Source organism: Homo sapiens, chromosome 21 (assembly GCF_000001405.40).
Source record: "Homo sapiens chromosome 21, GRCh38.p14 Primary Assembly".
Lineage (NCBI taxonomy): Eukaryota > Metazoa > Chordata > Mammalia > Primates > Hominidae > Homo > Homo sapiens.
The window spans coordinates 21,898,797-21,920,597 of record NC_000021.9 but is presented as its reverse complement, the minus strand read 5'-3'; the positions used below and the strand labels follow the sequence as shown (position 1 = coordinate 21,920,597).

The following is a 21,801-nucleotide window of genomic DNA, read 5'->3' as shown; positions in this document are numbered from 1 at the left end:
GTAATAAAGTGTTGAAATTGTCTAATTTATGTCTATATTTCCCTATATAGTTTGTGGTTCTTACCTTCTTATGGACTGAGTCCCACATTATTCTAAAATTCTCAATGTCTACAACTTTATTTATATTTGTCCCCAACATCATTCAAAGTAAACTCACACATAGCAAAAGACTTTGAACTGATAAATAAATAAGTGTGTAAATAAATAAATAAAAGGTGGAAAGAGCCCTGTTTTTTACATAAACACGCCAACTGAGGTCAAGTACAATATGGAAGTTCTTTTTAGCCTACTAAAAATAAATCGAAACTCAAACAGAATATGTCATTTTTTTAAACCTTGACTTTTTTTTCCTGGCTATAGTAAAAATGTGGGAGAAATATAGTTATATGATGAGAAAGCAATTGTAATAACCCTGGAATATGATTTCCTAGCCAGGTCGGAAGCTGAGCAGAGACATGGCTCCACTAGAGTAAGTGTTCTGCAGAGAGACGACACCTCTGGCTGATCTGTGTGTTCCTGCCACGCAAAGCTGCTCTCTAGGCCCTCTGTGAATAGACATGATACTCACTATGCATATTTCCTAGATATGTTCCTGAGCCTAGGAATTCCTTGATATATTTTCTGGTTTCTTGGAAAAAAATAGGTGTTACCTAGGACCTCTCGGCTTATGCTAGAGATAGCAACATAGGATGGGAACAGAGCCTGCTCTCTTTGTTGAGGTATTCTCACTCCTACTAGTCCAAACATACTCTTTTTAGCTGGTGAATTAGTACATTTCCACACTGCTATAAAGACATACCCGAGACTGAATAATTTATAAAGAAAAGAGGTTTAATTGACTCACAGCTGGGGAAGACTCAGGAAACTTACAATCATGGCAGAAGGGGAAGCAGGCACATCTTACATGGCAGCATGCAAGAGAGGAGAGTGAAGGAGGAATTTCCACACACTTATAAAACCATCAGATCTCATGAGAGCTCACTCACTATCATGAGAACAGCATGAGGAAAACCAACACCATGATTCAACCACCTCCCTTCCTCCACACACGGGGATTATAATTCGAGATGAGATTTGGGTGGGGATACAGAGCCAAACTATATCTGTTGTGATCTCAGTGAAACTGCATAAAGAACAACTATGTCCAACATAAGGCTGTAGAATAATAAGGAAAAGCATGCACTGTGCTACATCCCTTCTTGATTTATCCCCAATAAATTTTATCTAGTATCATGAGGCATTAGTAGTGTGTTTCAGTAACTCCCTTAGATGATACTAGAAACCCAAGATAAGCTGTGTTTTACTCATCCTGGTACCCTGTTTCATTTTTAATTTTGCTTTTTGGAGATAATTCTAGTGAGCCATCTCATCACCTAGGGATAATGACAGGTGACAAGGAGGCACAGACCCACAGGAGTTAGTCCCCGTCCTCCCACAGAGACTGGGTGAAAGAACAAGTTATCTCCCTGAATGTTTGCATTTCAGAGATAGCTCTCAGGTCCTTGAAGAAACAGTTTAGAGTGTTAGCTTCACGTCCATTACAAGAGATTAAAAAAAAAAGATACATAATTGCAAGCTGCCTATGGAGTGAACATTTGTGTACTTCTAAAATTTATTTGTTGAGACCTCTTTCCCACTATGATGGTGTTAAGAAGTGAGGTCTTTGAAGTTAATGAGATTATTAGGGTAGAGTCCTCATAAATGGGATTACAACCCTTACAAAGGAAACACCTGAAAACCTCCTTATCCCTTTCACCATGTGAGGATACAATGAAAAGACCGCAGCCTGCAACCTGGAAGAGGGCTCTCAACAGGCACCACTGTGATCACAGACTTCCAGCCTCCAGCATGGTGAGAAATACATTTGTGTTTCTTAAAAGCCACACGGTCGATGGTATTTGTTATAGCAGCCTGAATGGAGCAGTCTTTTGAAGTAGCTTCTCCAAGATGGTTTTCCACAGCCTATCTGCTTATCAGCAGGTTTTTGATGGAACAAATAGTAAATTCATTTGGCAACATTGAGCTTTCTCAGGCCGACATTATAAGGGGAAAGGGGAGGATGTAGAGTAGGGGGAGAGCTGGGGTCATCCCAGGAACACAGCCTTATACTGCTATTATAGAAGCCATTCTAGAGTTTGGTCATCTCTTAGTGCAGGGGTTTGGATGGAATCGCTGAGTCGTTATATGTCGAGAGGTCTACCGGTCTCACTTCAATTGATATAATTTTCACGCCTGAACTATTCCTCCTGACCCTCTTCTGGTGCCATTCCTGGGGAGGACACGGAACAGGGGAAATGGTGATTTCTCCAGGTTAGCCTCTTGCTTGTATTATGGCAATAAGTGATGGGAGGCTTGACTGTTTCTCGTTTTGGCTTGTTGTCTTCATTGGCTACTCCCACACCTGGCAGTGTGGCTTCCTCCGACTCAGCTGAGCCTCCTGCCATACTCCACTCCTTTACCAAATAGAGTCCTTCTCTTCCTTATTTGAGAAGGAATTGTATAGTTCATTTCTCTTCTGAATAATATAGTTCTGTTTTTTTTCTGTGTGTATGTCAAATCTGATTTTTGAGGAACCTCCATACTCTTCTCCATGCAGATATACTAATTTACGTTCCCACCAAGTTTATGAGAGTTCTCATTTCTTCATATTCTCACCAGCATTTGTTATTGCTAGTCTTCTGGATAAAAGCCATTTTAACTGGGGTGCAATATATGTCATTGTAGTTTTGATTGTGAGAATTGTGACTCTTTCTAAGCCATTACATATTCATTCATCTGCAATGTCTGAAAATGGATAAAAGTTTTATCCAGTGGGTGTTTTGATCTAAGGGGATGGATAGACAGATCGTATGCTCCTATCAAGGGTACCTGGAGCAAATGTAAACTTGTGTTTCAGCTGGTTTTCAGACCACCCTCCTCTGCCCCCAGAGGTCACTTAGGATGACACCAACAACTAAACAAAGAAATTATCACTTCAGAAAACTGATCAATCAACTGCCTCATTCTCAAGTGGTCATGACAGACTTAAGTTCCTGTGAGCATATACTTGCTCAAACCTGGGAAATGACAGGGGAGTGGGTTGAGAGTAAATAATTATCTTTTTCTCCAAATATTTTATAACAAGCAATCTTAGTGATGACTCATAAGGCAAATTCCTCAGAAAGTGGGATCAATCCTTTTGCATCTAATCCAGTTTTTTGTGGTTTCCTTAATATCGTTCAAATGGTGTTCCTGGCTATCAAGCATACCAGGCTACACTTGGAAAACTACACTATTCTCAGACAGTACTGTGGAACCCATTAAGATGTAGCATCAATCAGAACTAATTGTGAAGCTTATATTTAATGATACCCCAAGCACCAAAGGGTGGGCTGATGAGGAACCAATTTGGGCGGCCTGGAGGCTCACTTCCTTCCCCTTCCTGTTGTTTTGCTCAAAGCTGGCTCATCATGACTGATTAGTCTGCAGAGGGACAGAAAATTATTTGATGTCAGCATTCCTGGCTTGCAAGACTGTTCCTTTGATGTATTTCTTGTTGCTTACAGAAACTAAGTGTTCTTTTTCCTCTTAGGCTAACCCGAAGACACAAAAACCTGGTGAAGAGGCAGGGATGACATATGGAGTAGCTTTTTCTTTGCATGTTCAGGTTGTTGGTTGAGGCAAGCATCTCTGTGGTGCACACAGAACATCTATATCCAGCCTAGGCTGTAGAACAATCAGAGTTTGGGAGACAGTGTTCATTATGCTACTGCTCTTCTAGTCCATGTCCCCAGTAAACCCTGGGTCATATCCGTATTACTTGGATCTAGTTGTCTTTATACCTGACCCACCTCAAGTCCCCACAACTAATAGGCAAACAAATTTGTATAAGGTTTGGAAGACATTACTTTCCATTTAATATATATGAACATGTGTGGAAAAAAATTAGTCAATGCCCTATATTTACACAATGTTTGCAAATCTTTGGGTCAAATGAGAAACTCATTCAAATTTAGAATAATATGACATGGCAGATAATTAATTTTAACGTATCACCTATCCTTAAGTTAACTGCCTAGAAAAGTATATGCATTTCCACATTTTAATTTGACTAAAGTGAGAAAATTACACAGCAAATTATTCAGACACATGACCTGACAGTGTGCGATTAGTTAACAAGTGTTATTTATCGATGATGCTATTCAAGCTTTGGAAAATGTCCAAAAAGAGAGCCAGTTGGTGAGTTCTGAATGATACTGTGCAGTACGGTAATTACAAAGTAAAATATTTAAATAATTTTTGTGGCTATTCAGTGAGAAAAATTAACCCTGACAGCAAATCTCTGTAGTATACCGGTAATTTCCTCTGATAAAACACTTTGTGACCTTGACAACTCTTAGTTATTCCAAGTTTTTCGAAGTCACATATTTCAATTGCTAGAATCAATAAACTTGAACTAACTTTACCAGAAGGGGAAAATTATGTTTTGTTGGAAGTGAGATAGAGAGATTTCCTCAGAGGTGTCTCAGGATCAAATTGCAGTTAGAACAGTCCTTGACAGAGCATAACCGTGTAATAATATTGTACATATTGGAATGATGTCATTTGATGAGATCCAAGGGGACTTGTGGTAAATAAATTTGGGGCAGTTCCTGGTTATAGGAAATTGCATAATCCAGTATCAAGTCTCACTGCTCTTATTGTATAGTTAGATTACTTTGTAACTGCCCTGACTATACATATTTATATTTGTAATTAATCATTCTCATCAACCTTTTAACATTAATTCACTATATTTAACATAATTTATTGCTTCAATATAACTCATTATATTAAATACATGTTTTATGAATTCAAGATTTTGTTTATGTTAAGAAACAAACATGATAAATGTATTCAAGAGAGAAGTAGTTATTTTGTTCTTCAGAAATAGCCTCAATCTAACTGTAAATCTAAAACATCTATGACCTCCTTTTCTACATGCAGGTTGAAACAAGCAATTACATTTGTCTCTAAGCAATACTTGTCCATCAAGTCCTTGGCAGCCAAAGCCACATCATTATTGTCTCTACTGCTGCTTAAACTCTTCCATTCTCCCTTTTGAAAATAATGGTACACATATAGAGTCTCCATCTAAATCCAGACCAAGAAATTTCAGAGTATTTATAAAATACACTATGCAAAATTGTGAAAATATAAAATCATAAGGGTGAGATATGCACCAAAATAATATAGTTTTGTTAAAAAGAGCTTTTCTTTTTCAATACAGCCAATTTTTTTCTTTTAGTTTCTCTTGTAGTTTTTTTGTTTGTTTGTTTTTTGTTTTGAGACAGAGTCTTGCTCTGTCTCCCAGACTGGAGTGCAGTGGCACGATCTTGGCTCACTGCAAGCTCCGTCTCCTGGGTTCCGGCCATTCTCCAGCCTCAGCCTCCCGAGTAGCTGGGACTATAGGAACCCGCCACCTCGCCCAGCTAGTTTTTTTGTATTTTTAGTAGAGACGGGGTTTCACCGTGTTAGCCAGGATGGTCTTGATCTCCTGACCTCGTGATCTGCCTGTCTTGGCCTCCCAAAGTGATGGGATTACAGGTGTGAGCCACCGCGCCCGGCCTCTCTTATAGTTTTTAAACTCCCATTAAGCTCAAATACAACAAGAGGCATTATGCCAGCAGGTATAAGGTGGTCTCACCATGCTTACTAGACAGAAAGGCACCCACACTACATGCCGGTTACCACTGGATTTACTACCTGTCAGCAGATGCTCACTGAAATGAAAATGTTCCCTGAACTCATGTCGTGCCAGACTTCGCTACTCCCCGTGCCTTTCCTCCTGGGAGAATGACAGGGATAACTATCTCTCTCTCTTATAACTAACATTTAAAATCTTACAGAGGAGTGCGTCTTTGCCCCTCTCTGGGGAGTCATTTACCTCCCCTGAAGGACATATTTTGTTTAAAAGAGTAAAGTTTGGGTGCACAGAACCCATTCAGTTATCAGGGTCAAATGCAGTTGTTTCTGGCTTCCAGGGTGTTAGGGTGAAATGCAATTGTTTCTGATATCCAGGGTGTATGCTCCCCATATGATGAGTGGTTTATAAATGCTATACTCTGTGATTTCTGGCTTTGCTACCTATCCACTTAAGGAAAACTCTTATTCCTTCCAATGCACACTGCATGCATCATAAAAACCCAGTGAAAAATATTTTTACTAACAATATCTCAATGAGATGAACTGGAAAATAAGTTAGTTGTAGAGGAAATGGAGTAGAATAGGAAAATTTTGTAACAGGCTCCTGATCTGGTATTGGATTCAGAACTTGCCTGTTCAATCTTTGATATCTGTTTGATTTTTCCTTACCCTTCTCTCTCTCTTATCCTTTGGCCCATTCCCTCTTCACTGATGTATCTGTGGATTGGATGTGTGGTGGCTCACACCTGTAATCCCAGCACTTTGGGAGGCTGAGGTGGATGGGTCAACCTGAGATCAGGAGTTCCAGACCAGCCTGGTCAACATAGTGAAACCCTATCTCTACTAAAAATACAAAAAATTAGCTGGGCCTGGTGGCAGGCGCCTGTAATCCCAGATACAAGAGAGGCTGAGGCAGGAGACTCGCTTCAACCCAGGGGGCAGAGGTTGCAGTGAGCTGAGATCGCGCCATTGCACTCCACCCTGGGCAACAAGAACAAAACTCTGTCTCAAAAAAAAAAAAAAAAAAAATAGAAGTGGATTAACTTGATAAAAGGCTTAGTTATTTAAAATAGATCTTGCCCAAAGTTACATTAGTGACACTTCTACTTAATTCTATTACTACTACTACCACTACTAACAGCAACAACATCAACAAAAATACTTGATATTTACAACAATTCTGTGGGGCAGGCAGAAAGTACAGGCATTCTTATCTCTGTTTTACTGGGGAGAAAAGCAAAGCTAAAATACTAAGTGAATAGCACAGGGTTGGAAAGAAGCAGAAATCAGATTTGACATATTCCTTTTTCATCAGAAGATTTTAAAAGCTTTCCTCTTTGAAAACACTTACATTGACACACATTCTAGAGTGGTCATAAATGTGTCTTTTGCCTTACACACTGAAGTGTTTATCATGTTTTTTTTTTGTACTCCCAATTCTACCGTTGTATGGAGATTCAAAGGAAAGGATCCTATCCATAAAATTCATTAGGCATAATACTTAGAAGAGTGCCTGATTCATGGTGGGTACCAAATGCACACTTGTTGAGCAAGTACATCAAAGGCAGCCATTGTGCCAAATTTATCTTGAAAAATATTTATGGCCCACATGGTGATGTGGAGACTTTCATACAAAAGATTAGTGATTGAGATCGGTTGGCTAATTAAATATTGACAATCCCCAAAATATGTGCAGTGTTGCTGAAAATAAAAAGAAGGAAAAAAAAAAAGAAAACTCTGAGCAGGTAAGTTCCTTTCATATATGATATTTTTTCCATAAAATGTGTTCTAAATTGCAGTTAATTTATTAGGCTAGAAAAATATTGACTTTAAACAAAAAACATATATTATGATATATCCACTACTCTTCCAACTTGGGTATGTGTCTAGGCTAATATATATTTATTATGAGAGTTGTGTATGATGAACAAAAAATTATTCAATGATACTTGTTAAAGCATGGTAAGAAAGACTTTATTCAGGACCACTGTGATAGGTATTGGGGCTGTTGCAATGGGATTTTGCTGTGAGGGGGAGAGATTGGGCTCACCTCCAGGATAAGTGGGGATTTATAGCCAAGGAGTAGTGTGAGGGTGAGTGGATACAGAATTACTAAGAGAAAACATCAGAGGTAAGGGGTATTCTGGCTAAACAGACCTAACTGGATTCTTGCCGAAGGCAGGCATCACCTGGAAGTAGAAGATAAGGAACCAAATCAGATATCGAGGGTGATCAGTTCTCAATATTGTGGGTTTTTGCTAAACCAACTCAGCTAGGTTCTTATTAAAATTGTATTTATAAGGAACTGCACAGATGGACCTAGAAGAAGGTTCAGAAAACTGTCTAAAGTTTGGTCAAGCAAAGAAATTTTGTCATGTGGGAGTATATATGTGTGTGTGTGTGTGTGTGTGTGTGTGTGTGTGTGTGTGTGTGATATTTTCCATTTCTTAAGTCTCTATTGTAGGTAAACTGTTAAAACATATTCCAATTGATTGAGACTGATCAAACAATTGATCAGTCTCCAGATCAGTTGAACAAAGGGAATGTGAGAGCGGTTGTCAGTGTATTTGGATTTATGGTGAATATATGTTAGGATTTGGAATGCTCCAACTATAGTTAATGCATAGGTTGAAACAATAACATTGTTTTAGTGTGAGCATCACTGGAATGTCCCATTTCCTGGAGAAGGAACACTATAATGTCCTCTTTTGCTTTTCTATTCAAGCATTTGTATTTTTTTTTCAGGAGAATCTCCATACTTGTATTCAGTAATGCCGATTTGATTACAACAACCTCTTCAACCAAATATATAACTAGCATAACAGCATTTGGAGTACCATGGTTAACAGTGTTTTAGCAAAGGCTTCACTTGAATTCCCAAAGCAGAAAAAAAGATAAATAGCTATACCCAACACTGAAGATTTATCCAGTCCCTATGTACTTGTGGACATGTGTGGTATAGTTATGATTCTGAGAAAGTTCTATCGAATGAGGCTGTTCTCAATGACTTGTGTTATTTTGAATGTGAGACCTAATTTCTCAGTACAGCTACCAATTCCTATTGATGTCCCTCTCACATTCACATGCCTGTGTCCAATCAGTCTTAGCATGATTTTATTTTAAATAGTCTTTGTTCTCAAAGCAATTTAGGTTGTCAGAGAAGCTCATAGAGCTCAGGTACAGCTTGAAGAGCTGCAAATGAGAATATGAAAGGCCATAAATCATGTGGCTTTCAGTTGACTAAAATATATATGGAAACAATCTGCCTTTTCTTCTTCTGTTCTAGAAATATTTTGTAGAACCAGCTCCCTCCCAAACTTACTAGCCTGAGAGAAAGAATTCTTGCAATGTGATAGATAAGGATTTAAAAATTATAAACAAACTGTTACAAATGTGAAAACAAACACTCCCATATGGCTATTTCTTAATTCACCAATGAGTTTTTGGCCAAAGGAATAATAGACAGGCACATCAGCTGCATATATTGTCTGAAAATGTTAAAGATCACAAATTTGATCTTTCTGTTCATTTTTTTTTTTGTGTCAGAGATCGTTGCCAAAATAATAGAATTAGTGGAACATAAAGCATCTCCTAAGATCACATAATTAATGTATGTATCTGTATGTATATCTAAATCAACAGCAATAAAGCTGTTCTTTGCAAATGTTTGTATTTTCAAACTGTATAGTATTCTATGTGGTCTTCATATTCTTAAAAAAGTAAATTATATAGAAGCATAATCAATCTTATTCTTTTTTCTTTCTTTTTTTTTTTTTTTTTGAGACAGGGTCTCACTCTGTCGGAGTGCAGTGGTGTGATTAGTATGAACAGGAGACAGGGAAATACAGAGTAAAAGAGGGCAGTTCCCCCGCAAAGGCCCCGCTCCCAAGCCTGCAAACCATAGAAACCCGTTAACCTAAATGGGAACAGGCATTCCTGTTTTCGTGCCCAAAAGTTGCCTTCTGGCCTGCCAAGCCCCCTATCCTGTACCCATAAAAACCCCAAACCCCCAGCTCCAGAAGGAGACGAGAGGATACTAGCGGATGAACAGAAGAGCAGAAGAGAGGCAGAGAAGGAGGGAAGAGAAGGAGCGTCAGGAGGAGTTCAGCTGGGGACAGTTGGAGAATTGTCCGCTGACCAAACTCCAGGGGAAGATTGTCTTCCCACTCTGTCCGCTTCCCAGCTACCATCCATCCTGCTGACAGCCACCTTCACCACTCAATAAAACCCTTTCATAGGCCATCCTTCAAGTACACGTGACCCAATTCTTCTGCAATGCTGGACAAGACCTCAGGATATAGAAAGCAATCACATTGGCCCCCTGCCCTTGCAAAAAGGCAGAGGGTCCATTGAACACTTAAGCCATCAGCAACTAAAGGAGTCACCGTAACACACGCCCATTTGGGCTCTGGAAGTCACAGGCTCTGTGGTGCTGGTGCCCAGGGGTGTTCACTCTGGTTCCTGCACCTGCCCATCTATGTGCTCCCCATCCTGTAATGGGTTTGAGTAGCAGTGATGACCTAAAAGAGGAGTCACACTCCTATCACACATCCTGTGTGTGTGTGTTGTGGGGTGGTGGGGTGGTGTCAGGGAACTCTCCCGTTTCAGAATCATAGCTCACTATAACCTCAAACTTCTGGGCTCAAAGTGAGAGGTGACACCAGCTGGGCTTCTGGCTCAGGTAGGGACTTGGATAACTTTTCTGTTTAGCTAAAGGATTGTAAATGTACCAATTAGTGCTCTGTGTCTAGCTAAAGGATTGTAAATGCACCAGTCAGCACTCTGTGTCTAGCTAAAGGATTGTAAATGCACCAATCAGCACTCTGTAAAACGCACCAATCAGCACTCTGTAAAACGGACCAATCGGCTCTCTGTAAAACGGACCAATCAGTGCTCTGTAAAATGGACCAATCAGCAGAATGTGGGTGGGGCCAAATAAGGGAATAAAAGGGGGCCACCCAAGCCAGCAGTGGCAACCTGGTGGGGTCTGCCTCCATGCTGTGGAAGCCTCCTTGTTTTGCTCTTCGCAATAAATCCTGCTGCTGCTGACTCTTTGGGTCCGAGTGGCCTTTATGAGCTGTAACACTCACTGTGAACCTCAGCAGATTCAGTCCTGATATCAGAGAGACCACGAACCCACCAGGAGGAGTGAACAACTCTGGATGCGCTGCCTCCTGAAGTCAGCGAGACCATGAACCCACCAAGAGGAATGAACAACTCTAGATGCGCTGCCTTTAAGAGTTGTAACGTTCACTGCAAAGGTCTGCAGCTTCACTCATGAAGTCAGCCAGACCATGAACCCACCAGAAGGAAGAAACTCTGGACATGTCCAAACATCAGAAGGAGCAAAGTCTGGACACGCCATCTTTAAGAAGTGTAGCACTCTGTGAGAATCCAGGGCCTCATTCTTGAAGTTAGTGAGACCAAGAACCCACCAACTCCGGACACAAAAGCATCTTCCAACCCCAGCTGCTGCATAGCTGCAGATACAGGTATACAGCACCATACCCAGCTAATTTGTTAATTTCTTTTTTGTTTTGGTAGAGATTCACTAGGTTTTTAGGGGTGGTCTTGAACGTCTGGCCTCAAGCAATCCTCCTGCCTTGTTCTCCCCATGTGCTGGGATTACAGGAGTGAGCCACTGCACCCTGCCCAATCTTATTCTTTTTCCTACCTTCATCTTCTATCACCTGTACTTTGTCTGAAACACCAATGTATTTTGTTATTGTTAACCTACCCCAAATTTTTCTACCACGTCTTCTCTGATTCTAGTGTAATGTGATCCCTTAAGTGGTGGCTCCCAATAGAAACCGTGTGTGTGTGTGTGTGTGTGTGTTTACTTCGTGCCATTTAGATAAGTCTGTGTGTGGGTGTGTGTAGGATAAATAAATTCATCTCAAATTAAACTTTGTTTTGCAGATGCAACCTAAGGTTTTAATGTTCTCACTTAGTCTAAGTAAATTACTAATACACAATGTCAGTGGAAAACAGAAGGAACCCTTTTGAGAAAGAAAAGGGAGAAAAAGATAAAAAAAAAAGGATGTTAACTGAATTAGCTGAGACGCCTCAGAAAAAGTGTATAACACCTTACTGAATTGATGTAGTTTTAAAATCTCCCTGTGACTTCTTTTGCTTTTTAATATTAAAGAGGAGGCCAACGTCAAGGAAAAAGAATGAAGCATTGTGTTAACTAAAGACAATCTTATTTGCCTTGCCACTTTCACAAAATAAGAATTCTTAAAGACTTTTGTAAGTTAGTAATACATTATAAAATGTATTTACTTCCACACTGCATGAATTGATGACAACTCAACTTTGAAATCCAATCTTTTTTTCTGTAAAATCAATACAAAATGTGATTAAAACTTTCTACTCCAATGTTATGATAAAGTTTCATTCTCTTTTGTCTCACTTTGTTTCCTTTAATGACCTCAGTTGATCAAGGTTAGTTTATTGCAATATCTTTATAATTGGCTTCAATACCCTCAAAACTTCATCCCCAGATTCTTCAATATTAATTGTCTATTGGTATACAACACTGATAACAGAAGGCTTGTTTACTGACTTGAAATTATTAGACTTTAACTCTTTCTAGTCTTCAAAGTAAGCTTTTTTTTTAAGACTCACTTTTATGTTTTTTACATTCTACCTAGCAGAATGTATGAGAAAATTATAGTAATTTTTTCTATTTTATTTTTTATTCTCCCTTTTTTTTAACCAAAACACAAAAGGTTCAGTCTAGGTCCTCCTGCTCACACAAAGCCAATCACTGAAAGCCAATCTCTGAGACAATTATGGATTATGGCCAAGAAAGGAGGCTTTAATGGTGTGCAGCCAAGGAAATGGGAGATCAGTCTCAAATTCATCTCCCTAACCAACTAAAATTAGGGGTTTATATATCAGAGAAGAAATGTAACTATATGTAATAAAACGGGAACTGGGGAGGCCTAAGTAAGCAATCATGATGAATGAGGGGACTGGTATGTCATTGTCTGGATGGGAGGATCTGGTGAGTTTCAGTTGTTTGATACTTTTTGAGAGGTCTGGTTTTCTGAGGAAGGAACTCAGATAAGTAAATGTAAGTTTCAAGCTTTGAAACCAGAAGAGTCAATTTCTATATTTATCCAAAAAACTATCTATGGGAGTATTGGGTTAGTTTCACTTCGGTGATTCCTTCCTTACATTGACTACTTTAAAAGCATAAAAGTTTACTACATAGTTTTGGATAAAGAATTATAATTTTTTGTGGATTTTCATGCCCTTAAAATTTATAATCTAATAATTAAATTGATTATGTTTGAAAATATTTAGGTTAAATTATAGAATGATTGTGTCAATACATATCTTTTTAAATAGCCCACCCTATGTGGAAGCTGAATAGGGAATTGTTGGACAGGAAATGGAGCCTGGCCAAGGTCACACAGCACGAAGCCATCACAGCATGATACTAGATTCTGGTTTTCAGAAAGCAATGTAGCTTTTTCTGTGTGCCATTCCCAAGTCTTTCCCCACCCACATCCCACAGCTATTAGAGGCAGCTTGTTTCCATGTCTACAGTTTGCTTTCTCTTAGGAAAGTTACGTCAAAGACACATTAAAAACATTTTAAAAAGTCATTTCTACCTCAAAGTGTAGTCTCAGACCTGCGGCTTCTGTATCACTCAGGAACTGTTTAAAGAAAAATTCTCAAGCACCACTGATTTATCAAATTAGAAATTCTGGGAACGGGATTCAGTAATCTGTTTTTAACAAGCTTTCTTAGTAATTCTTATACACACTAAAATCTGAGAATCACTGCTTTCAATGATGGAATTCTACTCCAGGCTGACTTGCAAGTCTCATCTCTAAATAGTTTGCTCATTTTGCTCTCTATATTCTATCCAGGGCTTCAGCTCTTACACCTTCAGGATAAGAAATATTACTGTTAAAAAAAACTGTATGTAGTCCTACAATTGCACTATGTTCACTTGCCAGAAAATGGAGTATTAGCTGGTTGTATCATTTTTCAGCTTCATCTATATTTCATTGAATCAGGTTGCCATTTCAGAATGTGTGGGATGATGATGGGAACTTGTCTAGTTTTACTGTAGATGAAGTTTTCGTGTCTATTTTATTGTGATTTATGTAACTTTTAATGACTGTCAAACAATTTGCGAAATGTGTACCAACTCTCTGTCTTTCTAGGAAGTCTCTCAGTGCACTGCATATTTATTAGACACTAACATCTAATGAAATGTAACTTCTTAGCTTTAAAATATAAACTCCCTTGCAATGTCATGGTTTCAGGTACACCCGAGAGCTATTTCAGTGCATCGTCATCTCCACTGAAATGGAAAAGGTATCTAGGGGTTATTTCTCTCTAATAGCAGAGAGGTATACCAATCATGCTGGAAAGTATAGTAGGTTGTCCCCAAGTGTTGACTGAAAAGCAAGTGGTATTTTTAAGAAGCATAGTCCCACTGCACATTAGAAAGCTCTGAAGAACTACATTTGTTTAGCTATCTGGTTAAGAATTCGGATCACATATTGGCTTCTCACTGGTGCTCTTAATAAAAATAATGTGCCAAAGAGGAACTGGAGAAAGAAACTGACTACTGTGATTAGGGGGAAAGAGTTGTGCATAAACCAATTGTTTATTTAAAAGAAACACCTGCTGTAGCAGGCGGAACCTAGAGTGATAGCTACCCTAAATGCTGCATCTCAAAGGAAAAAAAATAACTCAAGAGGTCTGCAGCCACCCACCCTTGCTTCCTTCCCTTGACTTTGTTGTTCTTTACCAAGAAACTCTCTGGTTTTCTCTTATAGGCGGGGCTGTCAATTCACTTTCACTGCTTCTTATTTATCCCTCTATTAAAACCTTTATAGGCCCTGAGTTCATTAAAAGTAACAGTGCCCCCATAAATCACAGGACTGTTTCTTTAATTTAAAAAAATCCTGCAGAAAAGTATTGAAAATTTCTCAACCTTTTCCAAAACTTGTACTCAGTAACTAACATCTTTGACTATAGTTAAAATGATATAAATAAATATAAACATAAACTAAAAGGTAAAATAGGTTGTGAACTTGAACTTATGTGCAAGGAGTGCAAGTAAAAGTTACGTACAAGTACCTGTTATTTTGGAGCTGTAACTATACTGATACATGAAAGTGACAGGAAGTACAACTAAATTCCCACATTTCTCATAATGTCACATTGATGTTTACTAGGATATTAAATACAAAATTTTCCAGACAATTATGTCTCTGCATATTTACACCACCGATTGTATAATCAAGTAATGGCCATGAGTGATAATTTTGCTCTTCAGTTCCCAATTTGCAAATATACCAGCTAATGGAAAAATTGACCTATCTATGAAAACAAGAAGTGTCATTCAGGAAACCCTAAGCGCCTTGTACAGAAAATACATGTTGGAGTTAAAGTTCACTTTAAATATGGGGAGATGGGGCAGTAAGAGGCAAGGCAAAGCACCAGAATGAGGAATGACAGACCAGAAAACTGGTTTTATTTTAAATGTACTTGAGGAAATGGACTTATGTATTATGAATAACATGAATAAGATTGAACACACTAATCTATTTCACATATTATTTTACTATATATAAACAATTAATTGATATGTTGAATTCTTTCTTGCTCCCTCTCTATGTGTTATATACATAAACAATATCTCATATTGTTAATAATTTTTTACAAATTTAAAAATAAAATAACTGACAATTACTACATATAGAACACCACATTCTCTTAGTTTATCAGGACCGTATTTTTGAAATATGTAGTATTTTCATATCATTTTATATCTATAGCAAAAAACTTTTAAAAAACACTTAAATACAAGACATTTTGGGTACAAATAAAAATACTATTTGTAAAAATTAACTCCTAATACACAACAATTTGACTTCTTTCTGACAGTGAGCTAGACTGTTAGTCAACATAATGTAAATAAATTACATGTACATTAAGGTTAACTAATTATAAAAGATAAGGTGAAAAATACAAACTTGTAAGCTTTAGTATTCTTTAAATCTTAGAATAATGCCTGAATATTGAAATACGTTAAGAAAGTGTCATAATAAAATAATTTTTATACTTCTTCAAGTATATTTTATTTTGAAAGCCCCATCCTTCGTAATGATTAGGATATACTATAACCTAATCTGAAATTTCCATTTTAATGATATAACAAGATAAATGTGTTTTACAATCCAGCGGAAATGCTCTTATAGTTCAGCAGTGTATTTTTATCATATGGTTTTGTACAATCATCTTTTCTGAGGCTCTGTAGTTTCATACAGATACCAAATTCTGTATGTGTGTGTGTGCGTGTGTAAAGATTAACTTACATAAATTTCTGAAAGCACATGAAACAAAGTGTCTTCAGCTGGCTTCATATCCCTATTTATAAATTTAAAGATTAAAAAAATAAGTCACATGATGATAAAATTGTTTTCTTACCTTTTATTTACCCAGGTAAAATAGCACTTTTGGCCTGTACTAGTCTCATGAATCTCTCAAATTTCCAATATGATTTATGTACATAGACAAGGCCTATATAGAAATGTACTAGGGTCCTCATTTGTCATTTTTGTATTGAATACAAAGCAGCAAGTTCGTAAAATAATTGGTGCCATACACAATAGATGCACTTGCTAAACTTTTTCACTTGAGTAGATCTATTTATTTTTCATCTGTTTTTAGGTAGTGCTCTGCTTACATACCTATGCCCTGGGGAAACAAGAGTTATCTATTTGTACCTAGAGAATAATTAGACTTTGATAAATGAAAAGAGACAGAATTCATGTACCACAGACTTCATATATCACTTTTTATAAGAGATCAGTTTTTGGTGTCTGTAATATGTTACATCAGCAAAGGTTTTGGTTTATTTTTATTGCTTACCATATTTAGCATATTGTTAAATAGTGTCAGTTATTGTGTACAAGTTTTGAAAAAGGCAAAGAAATTTTCAATAGAAAAAATTTTAGTAGCAAGATTTTTTTTCTCCCTCCCTCCCTCCCCTCCCTTCCCTCCCTCCCTCCCCTTCCCTCCCCTCCCTCCATCCCTTCTTTCCTTCCCTCCTTCCCTTCCTTCCCTCCCTTCCCTCCTTCCCTTCCTTCCTTCCTTCCCTTCCTTCTTTCTGTGTCTGGAATTGGTGGGTTCTTGGTCTCACTGACTTCAAGAACTAAGCCGCGGACCCTCGCGGTGAGTGCTACAGCTCTTAAGGTGGCGCGTCTGGAGTTTGTTCCTTCTGATGTTCGGATGTGTTCGGAATTTCTTCCTTCTGGTGGGTTCGTGGTCTCGCTGGCTCAGGAGTGAAGCTGCAGACCTTCGCGGTGAGTGTTACGGCTCTTAAGGTGGCGCTTCTGGAGTCGTTCGTTCCTCCCGGTGGGCTCATGGTCTCGTTGGGCTCAGGAGTGAAGCTGCAGATCTTCGCGGTGAGTGTTACAGCTCATAAAAGCAGCGTGGACCCAAAGAGTGAGCAGTAGCAAGATTTATTGCAAAGAGCGAAAGTACAAAGTTTCCACAGTGTGGAAGGGGACTCTACCGGGTTGCCACTGCTGGCTCGGGCAGCCTGCTTTTATTCTCTTATCTGGCCCCACCCACATCCTGCTGATAGGAGAGCCAAGTGGTCTGTTTTGACAGGGTGCTGATTGGTGCGTTTACAATCACTGAGCTAGACACAAAGGTTCTCCACGTCCCCATCAGATTAGTTAGATACCGAGTATGGACACACAGGTTCTCCAAGGCCCCACCAGAGCAGCTAGATACAGAGTGTCGATTGGTGCATTCACAAACCTTGAGCTAAACACAGGGTGCTGATTGGTGTGTTTACAAACCTTGAGCTAGATACAGAGTGCCGATTGGTGTATTTACAATCGCTGAGCTAGACATAAAGGTTCTCCAAGGTCCCACCAGAGCAGCTAGATACAGAGTGTCGATTGGTGCACTCACAAACCTTGAGCTAAACACAGGGTGCTGATTGGTGTGTTTACAATCCCTGAGCTAAACATAAAGACTCTCCACGATCCCACCAGACTCAGGAGCCCAGCTGGCTTCACCTAGTGGATCCCACACGGGGGCTGCAGGTGGAGCTGCCTGCCAGTCCTGCATGGTGCACCTGCACTGCTCAGCCCTTGGGTGGTCCATGGGACTGGGCCCCGTGGAGCAGGGTGTGGCACTCGTCGGGGAGGCTCCGGCCGCACAGGAGCCCACGGAGAGGGTGGGAGGCTCAGGCACGGTGGGCTGCAGGTCCCGAGCCCTGCCCAGCGGGAAGGCAGCTAAGGCCCGGTGAGAAATCGAGCGCAGCGTCAGTGGGCTGGCACTGCTGGGGGACCCAGTACACCCTCCGCAGCCACTGGCCCAGGGGCGCTAAGTCCCTCATTGCCCGGGGCAGGCAGGGCTGACCGGCTGGCCTTCTCCGAGTGCGGGGCCCGCCAAACCCACGCCCACCCGGAACTCCAGCTGGCCCGCAAGCGCCGCACGCAGCCCCGGTTCCTGCTTGCGCCTCTCCCTCCACACCTCCCTGCAAGCTGAGGGAGTGGGCTCCAGCCTTGGCCAGCCCAGAAAGGGGCTCCCACAGTGCAGCGGTGGGCTGAAGGGCTCCTCAAGTGCCGCCAAAGTGGGAGCCCAGGCAGGGGAGGTACCGAGAGCAAGCAAGGGCTCTGAGGACTGTCAGCACGCTGTCACCTCTCATTTCTCTCTCTCTTTCTCTTTTTTTTGTGACAGGGTCTGGCTCTGTTGCCCAGGCTGGAGTACAGAACCTCCACCTCCTGAGCTGAAGCAATCTATCTTCCAACCTCAGCCTCCTGAGTAGCTGAAAATGCAGGTGCATGCTACCACACCTGGCTATTATTTATATATACATAAATAATATATATACACATTTATATATTATAAACTATAATATATAAAAAAATATATATATATAGTAGAGATGAAGTTTTGCCATGTTGTCCAGGCTGGTCTCAAACTCCTGGGCTCAAGCGATATATACCTTGGCCCTCGATAGAGATGAGAGTACAGGCATGAGCCGTGGTGCCCAGCCAATAACTTCTCTAATTGAATGAATAGAGAAAATGATTACAATTTAACAACAGTATGGTGAACAAAAAGTATTAAACAAATCATTATAATCTACCTATTTTTACTGCAAAAATCCTGACCCAGTCTCTCGAGTAGCTGGGACTACAACATACACCACTGCATGCAGCTGAAACAACTTTTAAAAGGAGAATTAAGTTGTGAGATAACATATTTTTAAATGACATTTTGAAATGAATTACTGATTGGCTAAAGAAAGTAAAGTATCTGTTGAGGTCATTTTTAAAATAAAGTCAGGATTCCTACAGCACAAGCAACTCCAAAGTTAATGAACTTTAAAAGTCAAAGATCAGAAATCACAAAACAATAAGGAGACTAAACTTGCCAGTCACACTAAAAGGAAGATCTTCAGAAAGTAATAAAAGAAAATTCATTTATTATTTGTTTTGTTTATTTTAATTTTAATTTTTGGAGACGGAGTCTCGCTCTGTAGCATCAGCCTGGAATGTAGAGACGCTATCTTGGTTCAAAGCAACCTCTGCCTCCAGGTTCAAGCAATTTTGTCCCTCAGCTTCCCAAGTACCTTAGACTACAGGCGCCGGCCAGCACACCTGGTTAATTATTTGTATTTTAGTAGAGACAGGGTTTCAGCATGTTATGCAGGCTGGTCTTGAACTCTTGAGCTCAGGCAATCCACCTACATTGGCTTCCCAAAGTGCTAGGATTATAAGAGTGAGCCACCGTGCCTGGCTGAAAATTTAGCTAAGCCTGTGTGGGAAAGCATTGCAAAGTCAAAGGAATTTAAAACATATTTAAAAAAGTACAACTATCCTCACTTCCAGATATTCGTTAACATCAGACTTCATATCTTTAATATATCAGAATGTCAGGTCTTAATTTGTACGCAAGAACAACCTAATATCCTCTCCGAAAATTCTCCTATAGGTAACAATCAAGGAATCTTGATATTCAGGCAGGAAAAGTGAGAATTCTGGGTGCTCACAGCATTGTCAGATCTTTTTTTATTTAAAATTTAAAAATTTTGATATGCCATTTGCTATAGTTTGGATGTGTTTGTCCCTGTCATAACTCATGTTAAAAAAAGCCAATATAGGCTGGGCACTTTGGGAGGCTGAGGAGGGTGGATCACCTGAGCTCAAGGGTTCAAGACCAGCCTGGCCAACATAGTGAAACCCCGTCTCTACTAAAAATACAAAAAATTAGCAGGGAGTGATGGCACATGCCTGTAATCCTAGCTACTTGGGAAGCTGGGGCAGGAGAATCGCTTAAACCCGGGAGGCGGAGAGTGCAGTGAGCCAAGATCTGGCCATTGCACTCGGCCCAGGAGACAGTGTGAGACTCCGGCTCAAAAAAAAAAAAAAAAAAAAAGTAAGGAAAAAAGTCAATGTAATGCTACTGAGTGAGAGGTCATGGGATCGTTAAGAGGCATTTGGGTTATGAGGGATTCACCCTTAATGAAAGAGCTGATGTAGTCTCACAGGACTGAGTTCTCTTCTCACGGAGCTCTATTAGTTACTGTGAGAGCAGATTATTATTAAGAGAGGTTACCCCTCATGGTTTGCCTCTTTGTACGTGCTTGCTTGCCCTTTTGTTTTTACTTCCCCACCATGTTATGACTCAGCAAAAGGCCCTCACCAGAAGCCTAGTAAATGCTAACACTATGCTTCTGGGACACCCCAGCCTCCAGAATTATGAGCCAAATACACTTTTTTCCTTTCTTTCTTTCTTTTTTTTTTTTTCTTTGAGATGGAGTCTCGCTCTGTTGCCCAGGCTGGAGTGCAGTGGTGCGATCTCAGCTCACTGCAAGCTCTGCCTCCCGGGTTCACACCATTCTCCTGCCTCAGCCTCCAGAGTAGCTGGGACCACAGGCGCCCGCCACCACACCTGGCTAATTTTTTGTATTTTTAGTAGAGACGAGGTTTCACTGAGTTAGACCAGGATGGTCTCGATCTCCTGACCTTGTGATCTGCCCGCCTCAGCCTCCCAAAGTGCTGGGATTACAGGTGTGAGCCACAGCGCCCGGCCTTTTTATATTTTTTTTCTTAAACGGAGTCTCACTCTGTCGCCCAGGCTGCAGTGCCATGGCACAATCTTGGCTTACTGCAACCCCTGCCTGCCGGGTTCAAGCAATTTTCCTGCCTCAGGCTCTGGAGTATCTGGGACTACAGGCACCCACCACCACACCTGGCTAGTTTTTTTTTTTTTGTTTTTTTTTTGTATTTTTAGTAGAGACAGGGTTTCACCATATTGGCCAGGATGGTCTCCATCTCCTGACCTTGTGATCCGCCCACCTTAGCCTCCCAAAGTGCTGGAATTACAGGCGTGAGCCACTGCGCCTGGCCAAACTTTCTTTTCTGTATAAATTATTGTGAATTATCCCATCTCGGAATTTTGCTATAGCAACACAAAATGCACTAGGGCATTTGTATCAATTCTGATGTTTAAACATATATGGCATTAAATATTTATCCAGTTAAAACAGTTTATTTTTTTTCATGTTTTCTAAGACTTTCATCCTCATTCTATTCCTTGCTTCACATTCCTTCTAGTCCTACTTATGAACGCTGCAGATTAACTACTCCTTCCTTCTAGGTTAAAGCTACCACACAGTAGTGGTGACATATATGTGCATTTCAAAGCTGCACAGTCTCAGATAATATCATTGATATGCTGAGGAGTTAAATTTATTTTGGGTGATGGTGGATGTAATATGGTTTTGTTATATGTTTCTCCTAACTCAAGGTCATGGGGCAAGGCAGACTTATAATATAATGTGAGTGTCCAGAAAATTCTATTGCAATATACATGTTAGAGGTTCACAAGAGAACTTCCTAGGGCCTGAACAACTCATCGGCAAGGTATTTATTTTTAAATTCCTTTACATATATTCAGTCCTGAAGCTATAACATTAGACCCTATGGGAGTCCAGTGTTAACATATTGTATTTTTAACATATTGTATTAGTCAGGGTTCTCCTAACAGACAAAACCAATTAGATAGATATAGATAGACAGATAGATAGATAATAGACAGACAGACAGATGATAGACAGAGAGATAGATAGATAGA

At 39.9% G+C, this 21,801-nt stretch overlaps 1 annotated feature.

Annotated features, from left to right (window-relative positions):
- Window positions 20,222-20,422: a silencer, noted in NCBI's record as "peak4379 fragment used in MPRA reporter construct". NCBI's record gives its function as "represses an SCP1 promoter by STARR-seq MPRAs in K562 erythroleukemia cells {active_cell/tissue: K562}" and the evidence as "EXISTENCE:reporter gene assay evidence [ECO:0000049][PMID:32103011]".